Source organism: Homo sapiens, chromosome 6, assembly GCF_000001405.40.
Source record: "Homo sapiens chromosome 6, GRCh38.p14 Primary Assembly".
Taxonomy (NCBI): Eukaryota; Metazoa; Chordata; class Mammalia; order Primates; family Hominidae; genus Homo; species Homo sapiens.
In genome coordinates this window covers 167,942,394-167,965,292 of record NC_000006.12, presented here as the reverse complement: position 1 = coordinate 167,965,292, position 22,899 = coordinate 167,942,394, and the positions used below count along the sequence as shown (strand labels likewise).

Genomic DNA, 22,899 nt, shown 5'->3' with positions numbered 1-22,899 from the left:
AACTTGCACTCTTTTTCACTGAGCCCCCATGAATGCAGAAGAGCAGTCCTTCCTGGACAAGGAGGACATGAGTGAACCACCCTGTTTACTTCAGTTATCAGGAAGGAGATTAACAGGAAACCAGAAATGAAGAAAAAAAAAAAAACACTCATTCTCCCAAAGTAACAATCTAACAAATATGCTTTCCATAGTTCTTAACTTGTATTTCAAATCTTAAGAAACTCCCTAACAGACAGAAAATTAGAGAGCCAGGAACTAACAGCAACAGCAACAAGATATTCAAATATATTTTGACACATACTGTACATTTTTTTCTGACATACATCTGCACAAACTACAGTTGACAGTGTTAAAATTCTTTTAACATTAAAAAAGGTAACAGCACAGTTTTGTTAAAGATTGACAAAAGTTTTAGAGCACAAGAAAAAAGTAAATAAGAAGGGGGATGAAAGAGCAAACAGAATAAACTGCCTCGAGTAAATGTTTAATGCTGTGAAATGAAGTACAATGAATTGTAAATTTGTTCAACCAAAGAAAACTAATTTTAGAGAGCTTGCTGGCATTCAGTGAAAAGTTGTTAGTCCCTGTTTTCAATTTCATCCTGTATTTTCTCCCTACTCCCTCTAGAGCTACACACACACACACACACACACACACACACACACACACACACACACAGAGTGAATACGCAATGTCACTCCTTCACCTTTTGAGGGAGAAAACTCTTAAGAATAAATGCCAGCCCCAATTACTGCCCTGAGCCCAATTTTTCATTGAATCTTCTTGCTCTGTGTTTAGAAATCCTGAAGGAAAGACTCTCATCTTCTTGTCTACACAAAGTAAGTGTTCCCTTGGAGTGAGGAATAAACCAGAATGACTTCTTGTGGCTTTTAAATGGAACTATCAAGAATCTTAGTATTAACATGAAGAACAGTTGCTTGGTAACATTTTAGGAAGAAATCAAAATATCCTCTTTTAGTTATACCAAGAGCAGATACAATTACAAGACAACTTTATTCTACCCAACAAATGAATGGCACATTTTTCTATAACAAAGCAAACCCATGAGTTTTGGACATTCTGATATAAAAATAGGTTATTCGCCTTTTTACAGTGACCACTTAATTATAGAAGCAGTTACTAACACAAGTGTATTTCAAATAATCATGAGTTATGAAAACACATTGGAAAAATTAAATAACCCAAGAGTTTCTCAGCACAGGAAAAACATGGCCTGGTCCTCTCTGCATGTGCACTGTGCTGCCGTGACAACCCAGCTGCCCCCGCCGAGGCTCCGGCGTGGCCAGGACTGGGCCCAGCTATAGCAATGGGCACTGTGCACGGCCTGGGACAGCCAAGCTGGCACTGACCTGGAAAAGCACAGCCCTCCAAGCAGCCAGGGAGCGCTTTCATGGAACAGCAAAGCAACAGCAAAAACCACCAACACTTAGACATCAAGCGGCTCAGCATTTTGTAAATCTGATTTCCTTAGAAAGATCATCAATGTTGACTTACCATTACACAAGTGAAAGACTCACAGGGGAACCTAATCCTGAAAGCTCAAACTCTTTGAGAGGACTTCAAATGCTGTTCAGATTCAACAGATAATATGATGATAAACTTAGAGGGCAAAGGTCTACAAAATGCAGAAATCACCAATTTCAACAGAGGTGAGTGTCCTTACATTATTCACTCTACTCCATTTAAGTGAAGTCACATCATGTCTATCAAGCTTACTCTTAGATTGTTCTGTATCCTAATAGAGCATATCACTACAAAAAACTCCCTACAAGTTCTTTTCTGTGAACAGTACACTGTTCTATTAATATAGTTCACTAGACTATCCAAGAAGGAATTATTAATAAAAACTAAATTTTCCGCCATCAGAAGTTGTAACACTGAAAGCTTCTACCTTCATAGAAGGGAAGTAACAGAGAAGAGCAGCTTCTCTCAAACCACACAGAGCAACACGCAGTCCCCTCGGGATGAAACAGGCCCCCACAGGGAGCTCAACGGCTACAGCCTCTTCATCCAGAGGGCGTCGGCCACACACACAGGACAAAGGGAGATATGGAGAGAAACATCTCAAAATCCCCATTTCTCAGAATGTCAAAATTCGCTGTCATTTTAAAATTCAATTAAAAGGGTTACTTGATTTAAACACACACACACACATGAAAATAAATAACTTAGGATATTTACTGGATTACATACTAAATTTTCCTGTATCATGTTTTCTAAGCCATCTGCTCTCTTTACCATCAACCAGAAGTGAGTGATTTGAGTAAACCATCTATTTGAAATGTTGAATGGCAGCCAACTGTCTTACTACGCTCCTACTGCTTCCCACGGTCCACATGCCATTTAAGCAATCACTGAACCAATGTCACCTTCACAATGACAAGCTGGGCCATGTTCAGTAAAGATGAGTGCCCGAGGAAACGAACCCTTTGCAAAGAGGCTCACTGCTACACACGCCCAAGAGTTCAGAAGTTTGAAGGAGACAAAACTTGGCAGATAAGGGGATCTGGAGACAGTCCAGAAGAGAGGTAGGTGGGCCAGATGGGGTAAAGTTGCAGGTCCAATCACAAAGCTGGGGGAGCCAGGCCCTGCTCTGCCTCGTGCTTCTTAAGAAACACAGAACTTCCAGCCCGCTCTGCCCCAGCCAATCGATTACGTTCAGGCTAACTTGGTAAAATTCTAGCTGCCCTTAAAGGACCATAACCTTTTCTTCAGCGTCTCGTTTTGTTCGCTCCTCCTCCTGCCGCCGGCGCTCTTCCTCTTGCCTCGCTCGGTCTTCCGCTTCCCGCTTGCGCATCTCTTCTAACTGCTGCTGCCGCCTCCGCTCCTCGTCCTGCAACTAACAACAGGCTGACATTAATCTCCCTCCACAAACTCCACCAGCACAAGACATAAAATGCACACATTAAGACAAGTAGACACACATATACACAAACACACACACACAGAAAGTTAAATATAAAATACCAGGTTAAAATCACTGTTGGAAAATAAAACTTTTTACAATTTTTTAGCTCTACAATTTTAAAATAAATTACCTAAAAACGGTTGCCACAAATCCCAGTTATTCCTCCATTAATCATGGCTATAAGATGGAATTTATCATCTACATTCACACATTCAACAAGCACAATTCTTTTACTGGAACAAATTTAGTTAACCCGTTCATGTAAATTAACAGGCTCAAACAGGCCCCACTTGATGGACCTGCAGAACACACTGAAACACCTCCTTTCTCCTCTCCCTTTTTAATTTCCACTACGAATATCTTGTAGAAGAGGGAGGCCCCCACTCGCCTCTGCATAGGTGGGACAGAAGCAGCATATGTGACTCCAGTGGGCCGGGCAGTCGTCCATCTTTCCCGGGGACCAAGGCCTGCCACTCTCTCTCCTCTGCCCTTTACCATCAGCTCCCTCCAGATCCCACCCTGGACTTCAAGAATTCCCTCCCGACTCAGGACTACCCTACACTCTGCACCATGGACTCTGAACCTGAGATGGGAAGGAGCCCTATCTCGGCTCTCTTCTGTCTGGACCTAATGTTGACCTCTCAGTCAATACAATCCATTCTGTTTTCAGGTAACACTAGTCAAGAAGTTCTTATGTTAACAATTCATTACCTCATTGTTTCTCTTTTTGGTCATTCCAGTTCTGCCTTTTTGAAACAACACAGAAAGATACCTTTCCTTCATATCATTCAAATACTTAAGGATGTCCTTCAAATACCTAAGTCCCTTCTTTTCAATTTTTAGCTCCTTTATCCTTCTGCTCACATCTCTATGCACTATAGGTTGAAAATACCTTTTCTAAAGAGGAACCCTGGATTAACAACCAGTGCAGAACAGAAAGACTCTCCCTTTTGGTCTTGGATACACGCAGCTTTTCTGTTATTCTAGTCTAAGATAATGGTAACTTTGAAAACTGTGTTCTCCATTTACTTCTTATCTGGTATAGACCTGTGCTACAGGAACACCCACAGCTGTATTATCATGTGTCATGAAGAAGTAATCAATATTTATAGGATTAAAATGAAACTTAAAGCCATCTAGTTCAATCTCTAACCACTGCAGGAATCCCTTACATAAAATTCCTACGTGCTTCAATTTCTACAGAATTACCAGTTTGTCTATAAATTGTTTGTAGTAGAAATATAACAATGTTAAGTGCTGGAATTTGAATTGATTTTGTATGTATTTTTTTTTTTAAATAAAAATCAACTTCACTCTCCCTTGATTTCTGTGAAGAAAACACTGTATCTGGTGAGAAAGAATAAATTAACCTGTGTTACTAGGCTTTTTCATGTCAATAAACAATAATAAAACATCTTAGAAAAAAATTAAAATTGTCTTCTCAAAGAGACAAATAATTGAACTGTCTCTTTAGGACAACCTATCCATACCCCAAGAGGGATGTTAGGATGACTGGCTTTTAGGGGGCTTATAGCAGGAGTAGATGCCACTAAGAACCCACAAGGAAGCCGTCGGTGACGCCTTGCCCTTGAGTTGACAGAACCAGCCACAGCTCCCCACAGGCTTCCTGCACCAGGGGCCAGAGCAAAGGATGGAAACGTTCAGCAAGGATTTCAGGGGTCAAGAAAAACTAGGAGAACTAGGAGAAACAGCGCCAAACAAAAATAGCAAAATAAAGCAAGTGAGAATATTAAATATTCTACAGAAAAGTAATTAGGGTAGAATGTAAAATTGCATTAATGCAATATGGGCCTTTTCCTTATCCCACAAAGCACAAACTAATTTATGTTAATATTTTCTAGCCTCAATTAAAAATAAGCGCTGAGCAAGAAAGTGTTACACAATGATAGACCAATTAGTTCTTTTAAACAGAAGTATATTTTAAGAAATCAGAACAATTATTTTCATAATTTTTTATAAATCTGTAAAAACAGGCATTTTCTTCTTAAAAACCTCTATTCTTCTAAATCTGGAATGCGGTCAGCAAGGAGCCTCCACTTGTGTTCAGCTCATCAGTTACTATTCGTAAAGGAAGGCAAATCAACCAGCACCAATGTCATCAAGGCAGTTTCTTTCCACTCTTTGGCTAACTCACGTATTTCCATCTCCAAAACATAAATTGTTTTGTTCTTCAAAGCTATGTTGCTTTACTCCCACCATTCACAAAGCATTAATGAGAAAAACGAGAATCTCTTAATTTACTCAAAATAATAGCTTAAAACAGTACACTGAATTGTATGGGTTACTCACATTCAGTAACACTTAAAGGATATTTTAACTTAAATTACAAATTTAATCACCCAGCAATCCAGTGGCAAACTGCCTATTAGATTAGCACTTTGATTAAAAGAATGAAAAGTTACATGCTACCAAAATAGCCTTGCAGGAAGTGATCTTTGAGGAGAGTGCAGAATAGATTAAAAAATAACTATTACCCGATGAATCAAGACCATGCAGACTGAAAGTTATTCTAAATCGAGAACTACACTGGGATTTGAAAGCCAGTATGTAGCAAGCTTGAACCAAGGTTCTGCTATATGGGTAGTCCACATTCCCCAAAACAGGTATTTTCAGGTTTTATATACATATATATGTGTGTGTATATGTTGAGATCTGTGTGTTTATAATTTTGTATCATGAAAATGAAACTGGTATCTGAACATAAAATGGGGTCATAATACCCTTTACTTTTTGACAAATTACTGAAAACACGACTCTGTTAAAGCCCTTAAAAAGCCTTTTACTCTACAGACTTTTTCTGCCTATGCTCCCTCCCTTTAAAAATGTCCACCCTAAAAAAATTTTAGGGACAAAAACATGAAGAAAACACCTGATCATTTATTACAAATTAATGATTGAATCGGAGTACCTCTGGTAAGTGACATAACACCTGGTTTTTAGACCAAGCAAAAGTCTACTCTATGTCTTAGGGACCGATTTCCTCATTAGGAAACTGAAGTCCTCTCTCACAGTGGTAGAATGTATTAAATGACACAGGAAAAACCATCCACTGTAGCACCTGGTCCTCAGTAAGTGCTAGCTCCCTTCCTGTAGCACAGCCCACACACTTTTTTCAGATTTAAGTAAAATGACCATTTTATTAGAAGTTGTAAGATCTAGAGCTTAGCTGGTGAAACGCCCTTGTGGCAGAGACTTAACACCGTAATCCACAAGGAAGACAGTGTGGCTCAAAGAGGCCTACAACAGAAACTTGAAGTTCTTTTAGGGCAACTGTTTTACGCAATCATACAAACTTTGTATTCCATTCTGCAATATATACGTGTTGGTTTTAATACATATTTCTTCTCCTAATTCCTTGAGTAAAACTGAGACTTCCTGAAGATGCACTGTGACTACACTGTGGCTCTGATATTCTGGGCAGGGCCCATTTTCATTCTAGAGGCACTCCAATTTGAATAGACAAAATACAGTCTGACTTCCCCCAGATAGATTTCTCTGAAGAAACAATTCTGAAATTAGGCTTCCTACTAATTCCTGCTTGAAATTTTTATAAGGCTTTTAATTCAACCCCTTCTATACCTGGGATGCTCAAGAGGGGCATGTCCAATTTCTACAGTTCCACGCAAAAACAAGCAAACAAAAACAAGAAAGCGGAAGAGGAGGGAAGACCTAGCTTGGGCTTTCATGTAAGGAAAGCAGCAGAACCACGGAACTCTTTGAAAACATCTTTTCACTGGTATTATTACCCCAAGGGGGAGGAATTTCTCCTGTGAGTTCTCATGTTTTCTGAGTCAGCAGATGATCCATTAAAACGTGTTAACAAGACAAACCTGAGCTTAGCCACTGAGAGATTTGTCAAACCAAGTAAATTTCGAGAAAATGGTTCCTGCCACTACAGTGTTACAAAAAGAGGCATTTTTGTGTCCTAGAAAGGGCACGTAATATGAATTCAGAAAACTCTCGTTAAAACCTTCACTCTCACCTGATCCATGTGATACAAAGCAGAGTATCCCTTATCCAAAATGCTTGGAACCAGAAGTGTTTCAAATTTTGGATTTTTTATTTTTGGACTATTTGCATATATGTAATGAGATTTCCTGGAAACAGGACCCAAGTCTAAATATGAATTGATTTCTGTTTCATATACACTATATATATAGCCTAAAGGTAATTTTATAACATATTTGAAATAATTTTGGACATAAAACGAAGCTTTGACTACAACCTCTCACTGAGGTCAGGTGTGGAATTTTCTACTTGTGGCATAATGTCGGTGCTCAAAGAGTTTTGGATTTTGGATTCTGAATTTTCAGATTAGGAATGTTCAACATGTACTGGCAAAGTCTCTCCCATGGTGGGTTTGGGGACCCTGGCTCTCACGTGCTCTGTGTGATACTGGGTCAATCTCTTCCATGCTGGCTTAGGCCCTTGTGCTCTGCCATAGAATAGCTTTGTCATGAGGAAATGAGAGGAATATATGCAGTTATGTGGCAACCTGGAGCAATGAAGGCACGAATCACACACCTTGTCATCAGGTGGAAGGACTAGCTACTTCTCGAGGCTGCAGCCAGGCAAAGCTGCAGCCACAGTCACGGCCACCTCCATGGTCCTAACTAACCGGCTACTCAAGTTAGAGACAGGTTCCAAGGCTAGGACAGAGTACTCTGCCAGGAGAAAGCAGACATCCTGACGAATTCCAGGTGTCCTGGATTTGCCCATGCGATATAAAGGAAAAGCCCTAACGACACAATGGGCTTCATCATAATCTAGTGCTGAAGGAGATCCCTCCAGCAAGTCAGACTTTGGTTTGAACATGACTTACACACCATCTCAGTCATTAAAATAGGAAACAACCTAGTAACAGCTTTACTCTTGAGATGCTAACAGTCAGGAAGGTCACACACCTTCGAGAGCTTGGGACCTTGGCCTGGAATCCGATCCCACTCACTCGACTGCCTACCACACTCCAGAACTCTTCTAGAAACTTGGACAAAGGTCACTGTTCCCATGGAGGTGGCGCTACCCAGAAGAGACAAACATGCCTAATGATGAGTAATGTGTATAGCATGTCCACAGAAAAACACACAGGACACAGTGAGGCCAGTGGGCCCCTGATACAAAGCAGCATGGGCAGGTGGGCCCCCCCCATATGAAGCAGTGGGGGCAGGTGGGCCCCCCCAGAAAGGTGGCATCTGAGAGACACCTGCATGTGCCAAGAGGGTCAGCCATGGAGACAGGCAGGGACCCTCCCGACGGCCCAACATGTGGAGGGTCACTAGAAGGCAGGCAGGCAGGCTGGAGGGCCAGTGGGCAAGGGTGTGAAGAGGAGATGAGACCCGAGCAAACTTAGACCGCCTGTCTAAGTGAAAGGAGAGACTTAGGAGGGCTGTGAGGACATTCTCGTGAGACTGCTGTATGCTATGTCAAGGCTGTCCTGTGAAGGGACTGGGGGACAGTACCGAGGGATCCTGCCAGTCTCTCGCAGTGACCCCGGCAGGAAAAGGAGAGAGGCTCTGGTCACGGGGGCACAGAGATTGGTCAGGTTGTGAGGAGGTCAAGCCAGTAGAGTTTCTGAACAGAGAAAAAAGGGGGTCATGCATGACTGTGAGGTTTCTTGCCTGAGCAACTCGAAGCATCAGCTGAAATGGGGAAGGCTGAAGGCAGAATGATGAGCAGTGCAAGGTGAGTGAAGCAGACAAAGATTTCACTTTGAGCATGCTGCATTCCAAAAGTCTTACTTGACTCCATGTGGAGATGTTACATGGGCAGGTGGATATCTGAGTCTTTAGTATGTGAGAAGTTTGGACTAGAAATCAAATGAGGATATTGCTGGCATCAAAGTGGTGCTACCGTCTCAGGTCGGAAGTGAGCACAGAGGATGGAGAAGGTAGGCCCTGGACTGACAGGGGTGATGGGTCACAAAGAGACCAGAGGGAAGAGCAGAAACGAGTGCAGGCAGCCTCCCAACTTTATGAAACTCAGCTGCTTCCAAACAGGAAAAGACCTGCCTCATTTCTCTAATTACCTACCTGAAAATCCTGTGATGTGTCTAAGAAAATATCTTAAGAACCATACTGGGTAGTGTCACTCCCTATATAGTCACATATTTGCCCTTATCCTTATTAAGGAGAGGGCTAATATCTTCACAGATGAGGGTCTCCTAGGGTAACCTGCCAATTCTTACATAAAAAGAATTCTATAGTTTTTTTTTTTTTTTTTTTTTTTTTTGAGCCAAAGTCTCGCTCTGTTCCCCAGGCTGGAGTGCAGTGGTGCAATCTCTGGTCACTGCAACCTCCACCTCCTGGGTTCGAGCAAGTGTCATGCCTCAGCCTCCTGAGTAGCTGGCATTACAGGTGCCCGCCACTGTGCCCAGCTAATTTTTGTATTTTTAGTAGAGACGAGGTTTCACCATGTTGGTCAGGCTGGTCTTGAACTCCTGGCCTCAGGTGATTCACCTGCTCGGCCTCCCAAAGTGCTGGGATTACAGGCATGAACCACTGTGCCCACCCAAGAATTTTATAAATAATGAGGTGCTGTTAATAATATGTACTGGGGAACTGGGCTAAGAAATGCTCAGAAACATGTGGTTAAGATCAATATTAATACTCAAAATAATTATCTTCTAAAGAAAGAAACTCTCTGAATTATTTCTATGGAACAAAAACCTTATTGCAAGCATTATTTTACTGTTCATGTGTCACAGAATTCTTCATAGTATAAGAAACTCTCTTTGGGCCTGAGAGCTGGCTGGTATCTTCAATGCCTCAGGTCAGTGCCCACCGTGTCATGGATGCTGAGCAAGTATTTGCTGAATGAATATCTCACACTAAGGTGACTCTGATCAATATCTTCCAGCTACACTTATGTACATCAAAACACACAAAGAAGTAGGGAGAAAAATGTATAACTTTTAAATCTTTGTTTCATGTAAAAAAAAAAATGCAAAGCTCAGAAAATATGCCTTCCAATCACCAAGGAGGGAAGGTGTTTGTAAGAAAGGTTCCTCTCTAAGGTGTTATTACCGCTGTGCTAAACTGAGGGGGGAAGGAAAAGGGGACTATTATTTGGTGAAAAGGCCACTAAAGTCAAACCTTGATTCACAGGTTTTAAATGTACCGTCTGATATTGGCTTTTGTCTTTATAAGTTGACTAGAATTTGTCTTCAAGTTTATATAAATATATCAGAGTATAATTGTCTAGCAGGTGATAAAGATACCATACGCAAGCATAATGGGCCCTAAACGATGAGCCAAACTTCCCCAATATGACAATGAACACTTTGAATTTACAACAGACCATGAACCTCAAGTATTTTTCAGCAGACTGATAAATTGGCATGGCTGATAAACTGAATTAAAATCCATGTTATATTATTAAAGAAAACATAGAATACATGTTCACTGGAAATCTCTTACTCTACCAACAGACAGTTATATCTTAACTGGCAAATAATGTCAATACCCTTTCAGCTGAGTTTATAACAACTGAATATTTAAAATCTATGTCTAATGTGAAAAAAATGAAATAGATTACTCATTACAAAATTTATTTCATTTGCTCATGTATTTATGACTACGTAAGAATACACGGAATCAATTTATGACTGAAACCGAGAAAAGGTCAAAACCATAAACAAACAGTAACACTTAAAATTAACGGAGAAAAGCAAAGAGTAACTAAATCTAGGAACATTCAAAGGCATGCTTCTAAAGTGTCAGGGACTCCATCTCCTGATGGAGGACACCCCTAAGGAGAACTGGATCTACTGAAAACATCAAACAGCCACCACTGAAAGAAAAGAAAATCAAGACAGGAAAAAAGTACCAAAGGGAAAGAAACAAGAACATACCAAATCTAGAACAGAGATTGCTGGCATAGCAGTCTGCTGCAGGTAACAGAGAAAGAAAAAAAAAAAGAAAGATGAAGTGTGGAAAAAAAAGTTAGGTTTAGACCTGTAATCTGCCATCGGCATATTTTCTCACTATCATGCGTCATCTGTGTTTCGACAACTTGATGAGAAAGGTAAAGAACTACAGACTAACTTCTAGTATTCAGAAACAGAAAAATGCCCACATGGTATTAAATGAGTTTCATCATTAGGATACATAGAAAATAAAAAACAGCAAAATTTCCCTTAGCTTTCTTATTTGGAGACTAAGATACTAATTGTAACAGAACTACTAAGCAAAAAGCAAATATTTTTTACTAAATTTTCATAAGAAACTTTCCAAATATCGCAATTCATACTAAAAGGCTTTGAAATATTCAGTGTTTTAACCCATTTGGAAAAACTCTGAGAGACCTTTAAATAAAAGTTTAGTCCTCACAGAAAAAGATACTTACAGAAATACTACAAGGCTAATTTTTCATTATTGTCAGGATACAGTTATAACAATAAGAAATGCTGATACTGTTGACTCATTTGCCATACACAACAGTTGTATATTCAGAGTTGAAAATGCAGCGAAGGAAAAGACATCTTTTCATCTTTTGGGGTGTGGGTGACACAAGGCCATGAACGTCCTTAGGATCCTAACGAATCCATCTTAGTGCACCCAGGAGCGACACTGGCCAGAGCAGAGGAGCATGCACCTGGCGCCAGCAGGCCCAGCACCTTTCAGAGAGCTCTGATGGGGAGGGGAATGCAGAGTACTTTTAAAGTACTGTAATTTTTAAGCTACTTTTAAAGTAAAATAGCTATTAATGTAGTGGTTGGTTTTTCAAATAAAACAGTGCTTACAGTAAACACAGCTACTCATCAGGAAGTTTACTACTAATGACTTGAGGAATACTAATAAAAATAGTAGTAAAACAATGTAATAATTCACACTTTGGCCTCATTTAAGAAACTTAAGTGTCTAAGGGGATTCAAGCTGAATTTTGGGCAAAGTTTTATATATACACACATTTTGGCTGAGATATGTATATATTAAGAAGTATGTGTGAGAGAGACTTTTCAGGAAAAATTCACAGAGCAAATCGAAAAAGAATCACACTACTGGGCTCCAAGGATCTAAGGACTCACAAATTATTATCTAAGGTTAAATTTCATTGTGAGGTAGAAAGATTAAAATGTCTGACCTAATAGCTCCTGGTAGAGCTTTACCATTAACAGCATAAAAAAACAGTTGAAATTAGAAACAGAATCCAAAAGATAAAAAGAACATGGCTCTGGCCATCTTTTCTCAAAATATTGCACTGTGTCTAAAAAAGAAAAAAAAATCACTAAAACTCATGAACACAATATGGTCAATAGCATTCTCTATAAATTAATATTAATAAATGCCCAAATTAATAGCAGTAAATGCCTCTTAACAGTTCTCTTTATAGAGTAACAAAGTCTTGCTTTTATCTAAAATTTCTGCATCACAATTTATTGTGTTAAACGAATTTATACTTTTGTTAGTTTATTTAAAACAAAAATCATTTTCATACTGTGGAGAAATAAGAATAAAATCAGTTCTCAATATCTTTATGCTACAATTGGAATATAATTGTTTATTACCTTAACAAATGCTTGCTTCATCAACAGTACAACTACTGTGAAGATTCTATTTTTGGTAATGACTGTAAATGTAATGATCTGAACAGTTTCTTTTGTTCACCACCACAAAATGCTGACAAGACCAGGGGCCAGACAGTCATCTGCCCTGTGTTTCTGTAAATAAAGTTTTATTGGTACAGAGACACACCCATGTGTTTACTTGTGCCTGTGGCTGCTTTTGTGCTACAACAGCAGAGCTGGGGGTTGCCAGAGACCCCGTGGCCTGCAAAGCCTAAAGTATCAATCTGGCCCTGGAAGAAAAATTTTGCCTACCCTGGATCAAGATTATTACTGGTCATTAACAAATACTTGTTTTCTCAACTGGAAGTGTTAAGGAAAAGGATAATTATGAGTTTGCTAATGAAAACAATCAAGTTCCATTTGAATTGTATTTAATACTTGTCAAAGCATGTCTTAAAAAATTTAGCCTTATAGGCCTGACTCATTTCTCTACGACATCAGCCAAGAGTAACACATACAATAAAACAGTATAAGCCTAGGGGCCCTTTTAATCCTTATCACGATCAGGGGCCTAGCTATCCCCATGGGAAACACGCAGAAGCTAAAATAGGGACCACAGATGGGCACAGCCAAAGCACTCCCCCCTTTACCCTCGCTCTTCGTTCAGCCTCCAGGCGCTGCATGATCAGCATGGTGTCCACATCATCGTCCTCCTCCTCCTCGTCATCTTCGTCCTTCTGCTTCGACTCCTGGAGTCTCTTCTGGAACTGCCACTCCAGCATGAGCTTGCGCAGCCGGTCGCTCTCCTCGGCGCTGCGGTCCGGTTTGCTCTGGAGCTCCTGGATCTCCTTGCTCAGCATGTCCACGATGTGCATCTGCTGCTGCTTCTCCAGCTTCTCCTTGGCGTCCCGCTTCCACGGGTCGGGGGACAGACTGTCCCCCGAGGAAAGCTCCTCTTTGCTGACTGTAATGTACTGCAAGTCTCTGCGCTCGATCGTGCGGGGCTGCTGCTGAGGCTGCAGCTCCCGAATGACTGTTTCCTGTGGCCGCTGGAGTGTGGAAGGCTTTTCGGGCTTCATCTGCTGTGCAGTCAGGGGAGAAAACGGAGCAGGGTTTAAGGACTGAGTGCGCATCTGGCCCAACTTCCTCTCCTGCTCTCTCCGCTTCCTCTCCCGCTCCTCCTCCAGGCGGGCCTTCTCCTTCTCATACCAACGCTGATGTTCTTCTCTCTTTCTCCGTTCAGCAGCAGCCACCTGCGCAGACGGCAGCCCTATCTGGTTGGCGGAAGGGGGTGGTGGGAGAGGCAAATCCATGGACATTCCATCGAAATCACCGGCATAGTGGACTGGAGGTGGCGGGGGTGGCGGAGGCAGGTCTGTTCGGATTGGCTGGGAGACGGCCACAGGGGTGGCCGGTATGGCTGCTGGTGTTTTCCAACGGCCAGGGCCACTTTTGGTCAGTGTGGAAGCAGGGGTGACCGACTTAGAGGAATGGTTCAGATGCTCCTGGCTAGAGGTACTGGAGTCCAGTGAGGAGCTCTGATTTATCCACATATCACTATCAGACTTTCGGTCCATAGCTGCCTCTATTCGATGCCGCTCAAGTTGGTAAGCTTTATCTTCTCGAAGTTCTTCTTGGGAACGTGTAACACGCTGCAAAAAGAAAAAGAATTATTATATTTCAGCCATTTACTAGAAATTACCAAATATCCACAAACATTTTATCTTCAGACAGAAGAAAAACTGTTAAATCAGTGTACAGAAAGAGACTGAGACTGCCCTACAAGGCTCATTGGCTAATGTGGAGTAACAGTGCATTTATCTGTGTAAAGAAGGAAAAGCGGCCAAGCGTGGTGGCTCACGCCTATAATCCCAGCACTTTGGGAGGCTGAGGTGGGTGGACTGCTTGAGCCCAGGAGTTCGAGACCAGCCTGGGTAACATAGTCTCTGTCTCGACTAAAATTTAAAAAAAAAAAAAAAAAAAGCAAAAAAGCAAAGCTGTACTTTCTCTCTGCCTCGAGGCCCTTCAGTGCCAGTGCCCATCCTCATCCTCCTCACCCTCCTGTGTGCCCAGCACCATCTCCACTGCAGAGCCAGACATGTGACTTGGACTTCAAAGCAATGAGTGTGTTTATTCATAATATGTAAAAATCAACAACAGGTACTTCTCTAATTACTATGACGAGTGATTATTAAATCTTAACCATGTAACCATCCGTGACTTTCTGCATTTTACAAGCTAAGGACTGGCTTTCTGGGCTGACAGAGCTGTGCACAGTAATGCAAGGACAAGTCCCACACATCTGCGATACGTCCGCTCCAATACCAGAAAGGTCCAAAATGTATTGCTACAAATGTGTTGAACACAAAGGTAGGGGTATGTGTGTGTGTGTCTGTGAGAGACAGAGAGAAATGACACACACACACACACACACACACAGACACAGAGAAAAATGAGTATACTTTTTCCAAAGGGCTAGTCTAAAATCTGAGAAATGGCACATATGAAAGGAGTCTACTCAGATAAACATGATCACTATGAGGTCTGAATCAAGCATCTTTTTCCTGCCCTGTTACTGAATACAAATTAAAGATGTAAACCAGGAAAACAAATTATTTCCTTTTCCTTAAAAAGCAAACCAACAACAAAGATGAAGTATCACTTCAAAAAGCAGTAGTCTCACAGAAAAATGGAACATTTACTCCCAACATTTTGCTAGAGCTTTACTTAGTACACAGAGTCTCATTACTGGGGTATAAAATCTATGGACCACATAAAAACAGAGACTGTGCCTACCGCCGCTCCCTGCTGCCGGAAGGGCTGACCTGAGTCACTTCTCTGCTCCCTTAAGACTTTGCACTGGCCCCGGCTGCTGGCTCGCACTCTCCACCTCCTCGCTTAAACCCCATCATAACTTTTCATTCCACACTCTGGCCTGCCTCTCAGTTCCTCAACTCTCTCCTCTAGGTATTGTTTATCCATGTGAGGTAGAAACAAGTAGCAGCTGTATACTATAAATGTGAAGACGTAATGCCAGCCCCACACAACAGGAAATACTGTGCATAAAAATGGGATTCAATGTATGCACTACAAATTGGGTTGTCTTGACATATGGGAAGCAGATTCTCCTACGTTCTAACAAAAGATACTAGAAGGACTAGGGCACAAAATTACTCAATTTTTAAAGAGAAATTTGGAGAAAGACACCTTCTCCCAGATAACTCCAGCTTTTGGTGACAGAGTGCATCCAAAACTCCCAAGACTGGGCCGTTGCAGGTGATCAGGCCCACCTAGGAAAACAGCAGGATGGACCAGCACACCAGACAAAAGGCCAAGATGAAATCTCCTGATAGCCAACATCTGTGGCCTGAGGAGCATTTTCTGCCGTCAGAAAACAGGCTCCTCCTCATCTGTATCACAGCGTCCATCTCCTCAGTGCAATCCTCTCTCCGCTGCCTACTGTTCTCATTCTTCAAGGCTCAGCTCAAATTCCATCTCAACTCTGAATTCTGTCTTTTCCAACCACTCTAAGAATGCTAATCTTCAGAATTCCTAGAGCGTCTGCGATCCAGGGCATGTATTTGTCACAGATCCTAGACTGTAACTATTTTTAAGCATACCTTTAATTTCTTCTCCCAATCCTTCACCATACAAACAGTTATCTCTCTAAAAAGAAAACCACATTGGATAACGTTCCCCAGCTTAACTACTCAGATTGGCATCACCCGTCTACTAATGTGGACAAAAATCAAATTCCTTAGCTGTCATGTCAAGCCCTTCTGTCTGGCCCCGCCTATCTTCACTGCCTTAGATCTTGCCACCCCTTTCCCCTCTACCCAGGGTTCCTGCTGAACTACTACACATCTCTGTGCCTTTCCCTCCTCCTGGAAGGCCCTTCCGTGCATACAGCTGTGCCCAGGTTCTCGTCCAAGACTGAGAAGCTCCATCCCCTGCTGGGGCCTCTTCTCCCACAGCACTGACCATGCTGTGTCTGTTGTGTCTGTCTCATTTCCCTGCCACACCATGAGCTCCCACAGGCAGGGATAGCTCCTGATACAGTGCAAAATACACCACTTGAGTTCTAATTTCTCACTTCTAGAATCAGTGAACTTTGTCTTAAAAATTGTAAGGCCTTATATTCCTAACATTTTGTTAATCAAACATCAGAGAACAGATAATCCTTTTTCTTATTAAGTATTCTATCCTGTCTCCTTTTTTCCTCAAACTTAACCACAAAACCATTAAAGGAAAAACAAAAGGCCAACAATGCTGTTCTATAGAAAATATTAATTGTGTCTCAGAACTCAGTGTGTCCTCCTTGAGAGGTGAGAAAAGTGTGTGGAATCTTTGATTTCTAACCTGAATTGCAATACTGGAATGATTACTATCTGTGTGCATATGTGGCTTTTCCTCATAATTTGGCCACTGGTTCTGAGGAGGAGCCATCCGATCCTGGGATTTGGAAGCTGGGAAGGTAAAATACTCTCTGGTGTACGTCTGAGTGGGGATGGGGTAGGCTTCAGGTCTAGGCGGAGGCGTCTGCTCCTGTAAAATGTGAAGAACAAAAAAAGTGAGCTTTTTACAACCATACAGACTAACTTGATTTTCAATGATCTGTTTTAAAATTTAAAAAATAGTATATGTTAAATACTGCATTAAAAAGTGTTTGATCCATACTGAGAATAAATAACATTTCATTTTGCCCAGACTTATTAATTTAAAACTGATTTACCTGACTAGTATATTAAAAATCAAAAGATAAAACACTGCAAATTTAGAAATTATAATCAATGCTAATTCAGAGTAAAAATTGTACTAGATAACTGAGATGTCCAAAGGGAACCCTAAGGATGGAAATGCAGTAGAAGCCTTTTGCTTATCAATCAATCAGACCTCAGTGCAGAGGTTTCCAGTAGAGACAGATGTTATCTTCGCTGTTGTTCCAGAGGCATATGCACTTTTCCCTCCAGGACTAGGAGGCTGATCTGCTCAAGTCAGGGGGGAAAAAAAAAAGTGTAATATTAAATAAACAACCTATATATAACATGAAATTTCCTTAAAGACCTCATTCATCTTCATACTGCTAGTGAGTATCCAGCACAGAGATGAAAAAAAAAAATCAAGGCAGGTAAGAAATCAGGTCTTGTCATATCCACATCCATCTTTTAAATAATCAGAGCCCAGAGCTACAAAAAAACCTTTGTAGCTCTGTGTATCAGGCCAGGGACTGGTAAACATTTTTGGTAATAGGCCAGAAAGTAAATACTTTAGGCTTTGTGAGCCTTTGTCTCCTGCTGCATATCCTTCTATTATTTCTTCTTCTCTTTGTTAACAACCCTTTAAAAATGTAAAAAATATTGGCTGGGCATGGTGGCTCAAGCCTGTAATCCCAGCACTTTGGGAGGCCAAGGCGGGCAGATCACGAGGTCAGGAGATCGAGACCATCCTGGCTAACATGGTGAAACCCCGTCTCTACTAAAAATACAAAAAATTAGCCGGGCGTGGTGGTGGGCGCCCATAGTCCCAGCCACTCGGGAAGCTAAGGCAGGAGAATGGCATGAACCCAGGAGGTGGAGCTTGCAGTTAGCCGAGATCGCGCCACTGCACTGCACTCCAGCCTGGGCGAGAGAGTGAGACTCCGTCTCAAAAAAAAAAAAAAAAATGTAAAACATATTTTAGTTTCTCTTGGTAATTTACCAACCCCAAATAGAGATGTTATTAATGTATTTGCTTATGGGATCAACTGAATCTAAAGTTTTTCCATCTTAGTTTTTGTTAGAGAAATGTTACTTATGATATCCCTTATGAAAACCATATCCTAGTTAGCCAATGTTTGCAGAGAATAATTTTAATAATTAACAAACCACAAAGTGCCTCCTCTCACTTCAGACTGTGATCACAAGTGTACTTAGGAAGCAAAAAAGTGTCACTCTTACTTGCTACGTTGGGGCTGGAACGGTGATCAGCTCTATTTTTCATCAGTCTGTCATCACCAGGCAATTTCTTTGGTTCACTATATTCTGCCCAAGGCAGCTGAGGACTCTCAGGAGACCCATTTTGAGTTGAATTATTATAGAGCTCAAAGCCTTCACTCTTTGGTCGGGGTTTACCTGAGCCACGACGATCTGAAACTGGAATCAAAGCATATTCAGTATCTCTTAAGATTTTATTTTCAACACCCTGATTATCATTAAAATTCCATAAGAATTGTTCTTAGCATAAGAAATAAGGTGATAAAGGTCAATTCTTCCTACAGAATCATAAAACAGCTTTTAAGTAAATATACTGAGAATAAAGAAAATATTTTTACTTAATTAGTAATGATGGGAAGATAAACACTTTCAAAGCTTATTTTCTCATTAACTGAAACTTCACTATTTTAAGCAACAAATCTAACCATTTTTAAAGTATCTTTAAAAAAAAAATCAATAAAGATATATATGTTTCCCTGACTTTGTAGAAAAATATCTGAACTTTTAATCGCCCAGCGTCATCGTTCTGAGCAGCCGTCATGTGACGTGAGCCTTCCGCTCCTGGCGGCCGCTTCTGTCAGTTCTCCTCCTTTTTGCTTGCTCACCCTGGTTTATCATCTACTATTCACAGCTTCCCTCTGTGATTTCTAACTCACATTCTAGTTTGCTTCTTTTAAATGACCACTAACTAAGAAATTAGACAACCAAGATGTTAAGTTCTACGTGACATAAAAAGTAAACAACATGCTGAGCAAGGCAGACAATACCACACGAGGTTTTGTTGAGCTGCCCCTTGGGTGGTGTGTGTTTGCTTCAAGAAGCAGCAAGTCACGTTCTCTGATGCCTTGGCTGTGGCTGTGATTTGTTACTATTAGGTACCAACTTGAGGTTCTGGGTTGTGAGGTTTCTAGAATCCTGCCTTACGGAGGAGAAAGCCATAAAGGCCATATTTAGAAGTCTATGTATACATTTAACAAGTTGTGCTATGAATCACAATGGTTTTCTCCTATTGTGTCTGAACTAATTATTTTAAAAGCCCTAAATTTGTATTGATTTTATCCTGAGATTCTTTTTGATGTAGCTGTAAAACCACAGTTCCAGAAAATAAATTATTTAAATAATTAAGATGTTTAAGTGAATTACAGTCATGAACCAAATAAGCCCATTTTGGTCAATGATGAACCACATCCGTGACAGTGGTCTCCTAAGATTAAAACGGAGCTGAAAAATCCCTATCTTCTAAATGATCTTAGCCAGTGTAAAGCTGTAGTACAATGATTCCTCGTGTTTGTGGTCGTGCCAGACTGCACTGCTAGCTGTATACAAGTATAGTTCATACAATTATACACGGTATATAATACTTGATAATGTAATATGCGACTGGGTTGCTTGTTTATATATTTTACTATACTATATTTTTTATTGTTATTTTAGAGTGTACTCCCTTTACTTATAAAAAGAGTTAATGGTCAAGTAGCCCCAGGCAGGTCTGTCAGGAAGCCTTCCAGAAAAAGGCATTGTCACCACAGGAGGTGATGGCTCCATGGCATGTCACTGCCCCTGAAGACCTTCCCGTGGGACCAGATGTGGAGGTGGAAGACAGTGACACTGATAATCCTGACCCTGTGCAGGCCGAAGCTAATGTGTGTGCTTATGTACGAGATTTTAACCAAAAAGATGAAAAGATAAATTAAAAAAAAAATAGAAAATCACTTATGGAATAAGCATAGAAAGAACGAAAATATTTTGTACAGTTGTACAACATGTTTGTGTTTTAAGCCAAGTGTTACTACAAAAGAGTCAAAAGGTTTTTTTTAATTTAAAATTTTATGTAGTAAAGTTACAGCAAGCTAAGGTTAATTTACTATTAAAGAAATATATATATATATTTGTAAATTTAGTGTAGCTTAAGTGTAGAGTGTTGATAAAGTCCACAGTAGTCATGGCCATGTCCTGGGCCTTCACATTCACTCACTACTCACTCGTGGACGCACCCAGAGCAACTTCCATCCTACAAGCTCCACTCAGGGTTAAGTGGCCTTCTATGGGTCTAGCATTGTTACTCTTCCACTTTTTTTTTTTTTAACTGTAGTTTTTCTATGTGAAGATATGTTCCCACTGAATTACAGTTGCCTGCAGTATTCAGTACAGTGACACGCTGTGCAGGTCTACAGCCTAGGAGCAATAGGCTACACCATCTAGGTTTGTGTAGTACACTGTGACGTATATACAATGATGAGATAAACTAAGGACGAATTTTTCAGAATGGATCCCCCTTGCCAGGTGAGCATGACTGTATACAGAATGAGATCATCATGCCTTATCTCAGCAAATGCAGGACTAAGGTAACTACTCATATACAAATAGATGCCTATTTCTTCAGTGAAGAACTGAATTTATTCTTTAAACACTTTAAATCCTGAGTCTGCCTATCAAAACTGAAAATCCATTCATTCATTCTTTAGTTTTTTTCCCAGTTCATCCTTAACACGTCACATTCATTCTCTACTGAGCACCTACTATGTGCCGGGCCTATGGAAGCTCACCAGCAGTCAACCAGCCCTGTGGGGGTGAAGTTAAATGGCTCCTGGTGACAGGGAGGGGTCCTGGTGACTCACAGTGTGGGCTCCAAGGTCAGAAGGTTCACATGGGAATCCCAGGCACTATGCTGAAGCGCTCTCATCCTCAATTTCTTTCTCTTTAAAACTGGGGCGATAGTAACACCAGTACCTCCTCCATGGGGGTTTTGTGACCATTCAAAGAGGCCATGACTGTAAAACACTGTTGTTTCCCTACTGGTCCTTACTTCTCTGCATCATGGGGGATGGCTGATTGAGAAGGGTGGCCAGACCGTGGTAGATGGCACCCTGCTTTGCTACTTCCAGTGTCACCACAGAGCTTGTTCTTGTCATGAGTTCTGCCGCCCTAGGAGAAGAAGATTACACATGTAAGAAAGACTAAAACGCAGTGCCTGCTCTGTCATGAATCGCTGTGATTATAGCAATGGAAAATCATGTTACACAGCTTCATCTATTATTTTGAGTAATGGTTCTGACTTCCAGACAGCTTACTCACTACCCATTTTCTCCTTTGAAAACTGACTATGAAAATAGGCAAACACATCTCCTGTTATCATTTTAAGAATAGTAAGATAATATTCAGAAATTTAAAGAAGTGTTGAGTATGTTTCTTTCAAGTTTCAAAGAAACTGTACTAGATTAAAATATATATTTATAATTTGATAACAAGTGAAATGTCACGTACACTATAAAAGGTAAAGAGTAATATGAGCACGTTTTAGCATAGTTTTTATCTTCCAATTTCAACATTTAATGCAAAAATCACCTAAAAATGCTAATACTATGCTTCAAGCAAATAAATCAATGATACCTTTCCTGAGAGAGTCCAACCAGACTTCGTCCATCCACACTGAGGAGCTGATCACCTGCAGCTAGACGTCCATCCTAGGCAAATCCACAGGTGTGTGCATGGATTAGGGGTAGAGAGCAAAGAGAGCGGGAGGAAGAAAAGGTAATGATGAGTAGATACTCTATTTGTTCTTCCAACAAGCACTATAGTGCTACATAACTAGAAGTATCAGCAGAATCTCTCACATCATTTGCTGAATATATGACACACTGAAAATGTACTTCTTTCAAAATGATACTGACCACATCTGCAGCACCTCCTTTCACAACCGACTTCACATAGATTCCTAGTTTATCTTGACCAGCACCCTATTGCAAAAACAAGGCGAAAACACTGCATTGAAGATATATTGTAAGAAATGCACTATGCAGGAAAGTAAAACAAAAATAAAACCACCCAACATGTACACAGATAACTGCAACAAAGTCCTGGTTCTCATTTTTACATGAAAATTACAAGTATGAAAAATCAGTTATTCATGCATCAGTTAATGATGAGAGTAAAATAGAGACTTGGAATCCTGAAGTTAATTTAAGAATAGTTCTGAACAGCCACAAGTGTAAGCAAACTAAAAACTACCTGCATGATATATACTATCAATCATTTTAATACAAAAAGCAACCTAGTACAGTATTTTTACATTTCACCATTTACCTATATCCTCCCTTATACCCTTGTTCTTTTCATACGTATAGTTTAAGATTTTAAATGATAAAAAAACTTCTTGTGGCAAACAGAGGAACTTAGTAAGAGAAAATCATACAGAAAATAATCAGTATTATAACTCATGTACTGTAACTGTAAATAAATATCAAAGCAACAAGACCCAATTCACATAGAATTGATATATTATGAAAGAATAAAATTCTGTTACATAGACTTAAGTTCTATATATAATTGTTTTCAGAATCACCAATATTCTACTTGGATACCACGACTATACTAAACCTAACTCTATAACAATCAAAATTTTGGGTAATTTATTGCAACTATCAAAGAAAGCAGTCCTACGCATGAAATCTTACTTAGATATTATGGACAAG

The 22,899-nt window shown here is 40.4% G+C and overlaps 1 protein-coding gene across 53 annotated transcripts in view; it reads right to left on the bottom strand.

Moving 5' to 3' along the window:
* AFDN (afadin, adherens junction formation factor) overlaps positions 1-22,899 on the bottom strand; it is a 145,460-nt gene that overhangs the window by 6,731 nt on the left and 115,830 nt on the right. For 29 of the 53 annotated variants that reach the window (XM_047418788.1, XM_047418789.1, XM_017010878.2 and 26 more), the window contains 8 exons: positions 22,099-22,164; positions 21,818-21,891; positions 21,234-21,352; positions 18,392-18,586; positions 17,349-17,440; positions 16,815-17,000; positions 13,106-14,107; positions 2,726-2,860 (listed from right to left, as the gene is read on the bottom strand). In XM_047418788.1, coding sequence (XP_047274744.1) covers positions 2,726-2,860; positions 13,106-14,107; positions 16,815-17,000; positions 17,349-17,440; positions 18,392-18,586; positions 21,234-21,352; positions 21,818-21,891; positions 22,099-22,164 — 1,869 coding nt within the window. Of the gene's footprint in view, positions 1-182; positions 2,861-13,105; positions 14,108-16,814; positions 17,001-17,348; positions 17,441-18,391; positions 18,587-21,233; positions 21,353-21,817; positions 21,892-22,098; positions 22,165-22,899 lie in introns of those variants that run through there. The other 24 variants (XM_047418790.1, XM_047418791.1, XM_047418814.1 and 21 more) reach the window with 3 other exon arrangements.